Below are 8,594 nucleotides of genomic sequence, written 5' to 3'. Positions count from 1 at the left end.
CCAGCACAGAAGTGTTGAATTAATCTTTTCAAAAAATGAAGGCAATATTAAAATGCATCAGATCAGATGTGCTCCTAGTTTCTATTCAGGAGATGTGATAAGGTCGCTTATTCCGCAGTTAACAAGGCTGTTTTACACACGTTGTAGAGCAGAAAATCATAAGCGACTTTAAAAAATATTTTTTAATTAATTATTTTTTAGAGGCAAGGTCTCACTCTGTTGCCCAGGCTGCAGTGCAGTGGCATGATTATAGCTCACTGCAGCCTTGAACTCCTGGGCTCAAGTGATCCTCCCACCTCAGCCTCCCGAATAACTGGGACTACAGGTTCATGCCACTGCACCCAGCTAATTTTTAAAATTTTGTAGAGATGGGGGTTTCATCCTTTGTTTCCCAGGATGGTCTCAAACCTCTGGCTTCAAGCCCTCCTCCTACTCAGCATCCCAAAGTGTGGGATGATAGGCAAGAGCCACCATGCCTGGCCTCAAAAGAACTTTAAAAGGCAGTCCTTATTGGCAAGGTACTTCCTGACTTTGGGATAAAGCATCAATGGATGCGTATCTTGTTGTACAACCAAAAGACTGGCAGCTGGTGTTTACCTTTCCCCTTCAAGGATCAGGGGTTACCAGCTTTACAGATAAGGGCAGTCCTGATCATATAAACCCAACTGTATTTGGACAAAACAGTAGAGTTAGTCTATCCCTTTTTGCTTTAAATTCCGGTGTTTGCTTTTCTTCTTTACTAACAAATGTCCTTTGTGGCATTTTTCCCCCTCAGAATAGGGCACTTTCATTTACATTAAAAGCCTGTTCAGGCTGGGCACAGTGGCTGATGCCTGTAATCCCAGTACTTTAGGAGGCCGAGGCAGGTGGACTGCTTGAGCTCAAGGGTTCGAGACTAGCCTGGGCAAAATGGCGAAATCTCATCTCTACAAAAAATACAAAAATTAGCAGGGTGTGGTGGCTGTGCCTGTAATCCCAGCTACTTGGGAGGCTGAGGCATGAGAATCACTTGAATCTGGGAGGTGGAGAATGCAGTGAGCCAAGATTACGCCACTGCACTCCAGCCTGGGTGACAGAGTGACACCCTGTCTCAAAAAAAAAAAAAAATTTAAAAACCCAGAAAACGAAACAAAACAAAAACAACAAAAAAAAACCTGTTTAAGAAGATACCGTTTCTCTTGAATGATTTTCCAGAAACTTGTCTACCGCCTCTTGATTGACAGAAGCTGCTTCTCCTGTCATGTGGACATTTTAAAAGCCACACCTCTTTCTGAAACTATCAAACCATCGTTTGCTGGCAATACATTCTCCTGCTTTAGATTCTTTACCTTCCTTTTGCTTTGAGTTGTCATTAACGGATTTTGCTTTTTCTCAAATGGTGTTCAAGTCTGCAGGTATGCCTTTCTTATAGCAATCCTGCACCCACATAAAAACTGCATTTTTCAATAAGAGATTAAAAAGATATTTTGCAAAAAGTGCAAGGTTTTTGTGCCTGCTGGTGTAGCTACAGTGATGGTTTCACAAATATCCTTTTCTTTATTTTACAATTGTCCTTTGCAAGACTCAATTGTCTTGGGATGGCAGACAACCACAGCTGCAGACCTTTATAAATGGCACATATCAAGCAATTCAACTTTTTTTGGTAATGTCAGGACTTTTCTCTGCTTTTTGGGAGTGCTTCCAGACTCACTAGTGCCATCTCATATGGAACCCATGATGTTATTCAAGGTTTATGATATTGCACTGAAAATGAAAAATACATGAGAACTAAATCAGTTTTTACTGCCATATGCAATTTACTGGAGTGAGGAACTGCTTATGGGAGACGATTAGCATCACGTAGTGTCTTAAGTGGATACTTAAACACTTGAGCTCACCGTGGTAGCAACAGGAGGTGACTGCAAAATTATTACAATAGTACAGTATGTACCACAGCTAATTTATGCAGTTTTCTTTTAATATTGCATCTTTAAGTTTGTTTACATTTCTCTTAACTGCAAATGGCACCGTGTACGGTCTGTGTTTGTGTGCATATGTTTTGATAAATGTTAATTTTTTATAATAGATTTGTATATATTTTATGTTAGTGAATGATAAAATTGATTTAGCATCTACATATATTTTATGCATTTATGACAGACCTAACTTTGTCTTATTTTTTAAAAATTATTTCGGCCGGGTGTGGTGGCTCATGCCTGTAATCCCAGCACTTTGGGATGCCAAGGCGGTCGGGCCATCTGAGGTCAGGAGTTTGAAACCAGCCTGACCAACATGGCAAAACTTCATCTCTACTAAAAATAAAAATAAAAAAATTAGCCAGGGGTGGTGGTTCATGCCCGTAATCCCAGCTACTTGGGAAGCTGAGGCATGAGAATTGCTTGAACCTGGAGTGGCAGAGGCTGCAGTGAGCCAAGATCATGCCACTGCACTCCAGCCCGGGCAACAGAGCAAGATTCCATCTCAGAAAAAAAAATTCTAGGCTACCTGGTTCATCTGCAATTTTTTTTATATTGTGGCAATCTCCAAAAATTTTTTCAAAATATTTATTGAAAAAAATCCACATATAAGTGGACCATGCTATTCACACTTAGGTTGCTCATGGGTCAATTATACATACAAATGTTTGTATGTATATATATTTTTCTTTGTATGTTTTTCTATTCTTCATTTTAGGGTTTTCCTAGCTTTGTGTCATCAGGAAGCAGTATTAAGTAACATGGCCTACTTTCACTACTCACAATAGCAAAGACTTGGAACCAACCCAAATGTCCATCAATGATAGACTTTATTAAGAAAATGTGGCATGGCCAGGCGCAGTGGCTCACGCCTCAATCCCAGCAGTTTGGGAGGCTGACGCGGGTGGATCACGAGGTCAGGAGATCGAGATCATCCTGGCTAACACGGTTAAACTCCGTCTCTACTAAAAAAAATACAAAAAATTTAGCCGGGCGTGGTGGCGGGCGCCTGTAGTCCCAGCTACTCAGGAGGCTGAGGCAGGAGAATGGCGTGAACCCGGGAGGCGGAGCTTGCAATGAGCCGAGATCGCGCCACTGCACTCCAGCCTGGGCGACAGAGTGAGAACGCTTTTGAAAAAAAAAAAGAAAATGTGGCACATATATACCATGGAATACTATACAGCCATAAAAAAGGATAAGTTTATGTCCTTTGCAGGGACATGGATGAAGCTGGAATTCTTCATTCTAAGCAAACTAACCCAAAGACAGAATACCAAACACCGCATGTTCTCACTCATAGATGGGAGTTGAACAATGAGAACACATGGACACAGGGCGGGAACATCACACACCAGGGCCTGTTGGGGGGTGGGGAGCTGGGGGACGGATAGCATTAGGAGAAATACCTAATGTAAATGACAAGTTGATGGGTGCAGCAAACCAACATGGCACATGTATAGCTATGTAACAAAACTGCATGTTGTGCACATGTACCCTAGAACTTAAAGTATAATAAAATATAATAATAATAATAAAAATAACATGGCCTACTTTTTTGGAATTTCCTGAGATTCTCTTTGTGGCCTAGTATATGCTCACTCTTTATAAATGTTCTATAGGTGTATTTATTAGATTAAGCTTATAATTTTCATTATGCAAACATTTTACATTCTCATTTATGTTTTGTCTACTCAATCAATCAGTTTCTCTGAGAGGATTTTTTAAAACTCTCTCATGATGTTTATCATTTTGTCACATTTTCCTCTTATTTTTAAGAGCCTTTATTTATATACCTATATATTATATATATATTATATATATATTTCAGTTACATTTTTTTCCAAGCCGAACTGTATCCAGCTTTATTAAAGATACTTTCCATAAACAATCATGGTATTTCAGGCAGGACATGGAAGACAATTGTTAACAGTATGCAACAACTTTCAAACTCCCTTCTTCAGTGGACTGCCAAAAATCAGAAAGCCACTATAAAACCCAATGAAGTCTTCATCTGATGCTCTGAACAGGGGAAGTTTAGAGTGAGGGTTGACATTTCACATTTAGCATGTTGTTTAACAACTTTTCACGAGGTGACCCTGACTTTCAGGAAGTGAAATGAAAATGGCAGAATGTATCTGAAGATCCACAGTCTAGGAACGGAACCACTGCTCTTTAGACAGGTGCCATCTCAGTGGCACCACTGGAAAGTCCAGATTGCCTGACACACTGGTAACCAATGACTGGGGATGAGGTCCCAACAGATGTCTGGGCTTAAGAGAGTTAAGTCTATGCTGAAAGATAGAAAGGGAGAAGAGGACATAAAAATGAATTGCTTTTTCCAAACACAAAGCTTTAGTGCCAAGGTACTCATGTGTATCAAAGTCAGGGAATCCCTCCTCCCGGGAGCCAAGAGGAAGTCTCCCAAAACTAGAAGGGAAAGGTGTTTTCCTCACATCACTCCAGCTTTGGAGACATTCTATTAGTGACATATAGCCCTTCCCCCAGAAAAAACAACGAAGTGTTCTGTGTGCTAACAACATAATAGCTTTAAAAAACAAAGTAAAACAAAATTCTGCATTTTTATAAAACTTGATAAAAAATAGTATTTCAAACTGTACAGTCACCAGAAGTACACAGTTATCAAAAATGCACACACTTCACTTGGCCTCTCCATCACCTTCAGCTTCCCTGGCCTGGTCTGTTATGGCATCTCCTTTTTCTGCAGGGTAATTCCCCTCCTTGCCAGCATCAGCTTTTCCCTTTTTCCCTTTAGGTACCTTCTCTCCCTTCTTTGCAGGGGCCTTTTTAGGCTTGGGCTCTGGCTTTGGAGGAGCAGGTTTAGCAGACAACCTTGTGGATCTTCTCTGAGGTGTGTCCACCTTGGCTTTATCTCCTTTAACATCCCCTTCGGTCTTCCTCTTGGGCAAGGTGGCGGCGGTGACAGCAGTGGGACTTAGATGCTGGGCCCGGGATGCAGCGGCGCACAGGCTTTGATCGGTCGGGGGGTCATTCTCGCCTCTTCTTCTTCCATTTCAGTTACTTTGTTTAATGTCTAAAGATTCATAACTAACTCCACCCAACCAACCCCCACTGTTTTTTGAGACTGGGTCTTGCTCTGTCAACCAGGTTGGAGTGCAGTGGTGAGATCTTGACTCACTGCAGCCTTGACCTCTCAGTCTAGGTGATCCTCCCACCTCAGCCTCCCAAGTTGCTAGGACCACAGGCGCATGCCACCACACCTGGCTAATTTTATTTATTTTTTGTAGAGATGAGGTCTCACCATGTTGCCTAGGCTGGTCTCAAACTCCTGGGCTCAAGCAATCCTCTTGCCTTGGCCTCCCAAAATGCTGGGATTACAGGCATGAGTCCCTGTGCCTGGCCCAAGATCCAATAACTATTGTTTTGTTGTTGTTGTTTTGTTTGTTTGTTTGTTTGTTTTTGAGATGGAGTCTTTCTCTGTCACCCAGGCTGGAGTGCAGTGGTATGATCTCGGCTCACTGCAATCTCTGCCTCCTGGGTTCAAGCGATTCTCCTGCCTCAGCCTCCTGAATAGCTGGGATTACAGGCATGTACTATGCCTGGCTAATTTTTGCATTTTTAGTAGAGACAAGGTTTCTCCATGTTGGCCAGGCTGGTCTCGAACTCCTGACCTCAAGTGAGCTGCACACCTCAGCCTCCCAAAGTGCAGGGATTACAAGCCCAGCCACCAAGATCAATTAACTATGAAATCTACTTCGGGAATTTTACTTTATATCAATAATTATTCCTTCAAGGAATGTTCATTGCACCTCTACTATGTACCAAGCACTCTTCTAGATTTTAGGGGTTCAACAGTGAACCAAACAGACAAAAATCCCAGCCCTCATGAGGCTAGCATTCTAGCAGGGAGCAGAGGTAGTTAGTACATTCAGCCCCTTCTCACAACCCCAGGAAGGAGTCCTGTGGAGAGGTGATGGTGTGGAGCAGCAAGGAGCTGTCATAATCAATCCAGCCAACCTTGCCCTGCCGTCTAAAGGTAACAAAGAAGTGGCTGGACTGGGGCGGGTAAACAGGAAGGACTCCCTCCTGCCAACTCCTCAGGGTCAATTCTCATGTCCCCGCTGCCCCCTTCTCTCCTTCAGGGGAGGTTCCGAAAGCTGCAGTTTCCTCAAGAGAGAGGCAGAGGAATGAAGTTCTCCATAGACTGACTGGAACCATCTGGGGAGACAGAGTGCAGTTGTCGGGTGACCTGGGGGACGTGGCCGGCTTGTCTCACTGGAGGGCCTGCCCGCCCTGCCTCCACTGTGGGAACTCTGTACAGCTGCCACTCTCTGTGACCTTGGGTTGTTTTGGTGGCACTAGCAGGCTGTGACAGACAACTGCCACCACACAGGGTATGATGTTGACACTCAGGTGCCCACAGCCTTCTCTCCCAGAGATTTTTAGTCTTTCCGGGCATGAGGCTCACCGTGGAGTCTGGGGTCCCACTCATTGTGCTTTAGGGGACAGCCTGACTCTAGCATAAGTAGGAGAAGCTATAGACATTACAGTTGTTACGAAATGACTCTCAGACCTGGTTTTCCAGGGGCAGGGAGAAGTTTCTCACATTCTGGAGGAAGATGTAACAGCATTTTGAGGATGAGGGATGTCACTGGTTTAGAGGAAAATCTACACTTGCTTAGTCAGTAATTTTGATGTCTACCAACAAATGCCCAGCCCTTTTCATGCACTAGATACACACAGCATTCACTGCTCTGACACATGAATTTGGGCCTGGGACCAACCCTTCCTGTGTGCCTCCACCATGCCTCTCAGAAGGACCCTCTCTTTTGTGTATTGTTCTCACTTATAAGAGCCAGTTATAAATTTTTCCACCTTGCCAGCCAGCAATTCCTGCTGCAGCTTAGGCAACCAACTCCAAGGACCTCCCCATCCCCAGTGAGAGTCCCAGGCCCCAATGAGAGTCACGGAAGAGTAAGGATGCCTTGGCTTCTCTTGGGAGGCACGAGGGTCCATGTGCTTTAGGATAGCCAGAGGGTCCATGCCATCTGGCTTCTTCCTGCAGGACAGGGCCCCAAGCAGCAGGCTGTCCATAGTGCAACCCTGCCTCACTCCCCAAAGCAGCTGCATCTCACTGCCTCTTGAATCTCCCCAAAGCCCTGCTTTTGTTGCAATCTTTGACTTCTTAGACCTGACAAGCATTTTCCACTCTCCACCATACAGGTGCCAGGACTGGGATCCCAGGCCCTCTTCAAGATGACCCCAATGAGCTTTTCATCACACTTCTGCCATGGGGTCACTGGAACTGAGCCAAGCCCCTTAGTGTCTCCTCAACCAGCTCTGATTGTAGCTTCTGCATTGGTGCTCTGACCACCCCTTAGCCTGGGTCACTTAGGATTTGTCTGTATGATAACCACATTTCTGGACTTTCTATTTGGTTCATAAATCATGCTACCATTAACTAACAACATGGTGGGGGTTATGGGAGGCAGGAGAGCTTGGAGGTTATAGACCCAGGCCCTGAGGCCAAACACTCTGGGTCCGATCCCATTTTCATTCCTTTCTAGCTGGGAAAGCTGGTTCATTGACTTTCATGTTTCAGTTTCCTCTTCTGTGAAATGGAAGTAACTACAGTACCTCCTTCGTGGGGGTGCTGTGACAATTAGGAAAGTCAATGCATAGGACGAATTTAGGATAGTGCATGGGACACGGATCCCACTGTGCAAGCATTAGTCGTGATTGTTTTGCTGATGGCCTACTTCACTCCTCACTTCACTTCTGAGGAAGGCTCTATTAGAACCCTCACTTTACAAATGGGGAGATAAAGCCCAGAGAGTTTGGATGATGATGTGGTTTGTCTCTGTGTCTCCACCCAAATCTCATCTTGAATTGTATTCCCATAATTCCCACCTGTTGTGGGAGGGACCCGGTGGGAGATAATTTGCATCATACTGTTCTCTTGGTGGTGAATAAGTCTCATGAGATCTGATGGTTTTATCAGAGGTTTCCACTTTTGCATCTCTTCATTTTCTCTTGCTGCTGCCATGTAAGAAATGCCTTTCATCTCCCACCATGATTCTGAGGCCTCCCCAGCCATGTGGAACTGTAAGTTCAATGAAACCTCTTTTACTTCCCAGTCCTGGGTGCGTCTTTATCAGCAGCATGAAAAGGGACTAACATAGTAAATTGGTACCAGGAGTGAGGTGTTGCTGAAAAGATACCTGAAAATGTGGAAGCGACTTTGTAACTAGCTAACAGGCAGAGATTGGAACAGCTTTGAGGGCTCAGAAGAAGACAGGAAAATGTGGGAAAGTTTCCAACTTCCTAGAGACTTGTTGAATGGCTTTGACAAAAATACTGATAATGATATAGACAATGAAATCCAGGCTGAGATGGTCTCAGATGGAGATGAGGAACTTCTTGGGAACTGGAGCAAAGGTGACTCTTTTTATGTTTTAGCAAAGAGACTACTGGTATTTTGCCCCTGCCCTAGAAATTTGTGGAACTTGGAACTTGAGAGAGATGATTTAGGGTATCTGGTGGAAGACATTTCTAAGCAGCAAGGCATTCAAGAGGTGACTTGGATGCTGCTAAAGGCATTCAGTTTTGAAAGGGAAGCAGAGCATAAAAGTTTGGAAAATTTGCAGCCTGACAATGCAA

At 44.0% G+C, this 8,594-nt stretch overlaps 1 pseudogene, besides 1 other annotated feature; it reads right to left on the bottom strand.

Moving 5' to 3' along the window:
• On the bottom strand, nt 4,414–4,980 carry HMGN2P21 (high mobility group nucleosomal binding domain 2 pseudogene 21; annotated as a pseudogene).
• Nucleotides 7,399–7,953: an enhancer, noted in NCBI's record as "OCT4-NANOG hESC enhancer chr2:71027218-71027772 (GRCh37/hg19 assembly coordinates)". NCBI's record gives its function as "activates a minimal SCP1, AML or CMV promoter by ChIP-STARR-seq in naive and primed H9 embryonic stem cells {active_cell/tissue: H9 hESC(naive and primed)}" and the evidence as "EXISTENCE:reporter gene assay evidence [ECO:0000049][PMID:30033119]".

The sequence above is a fragment of the Homo sapiens genome, chromosome 2 (assembly GCF_000001405.40).
Source record: "Homo sapiens chromosome 2, GRCh38.p14 Primary Assembly".
In the NCBI taxonomy this organism is placed as follows: Eukaryota; Metazoa; Chordata; class Mammalia; order Primates; family Hominidae; genus Homo; species Homo sapiens.
Note: the sequence above shows the minus strand (reverse complement) of the source record. Positions and strands in the feature narration are given on the sequence as shown.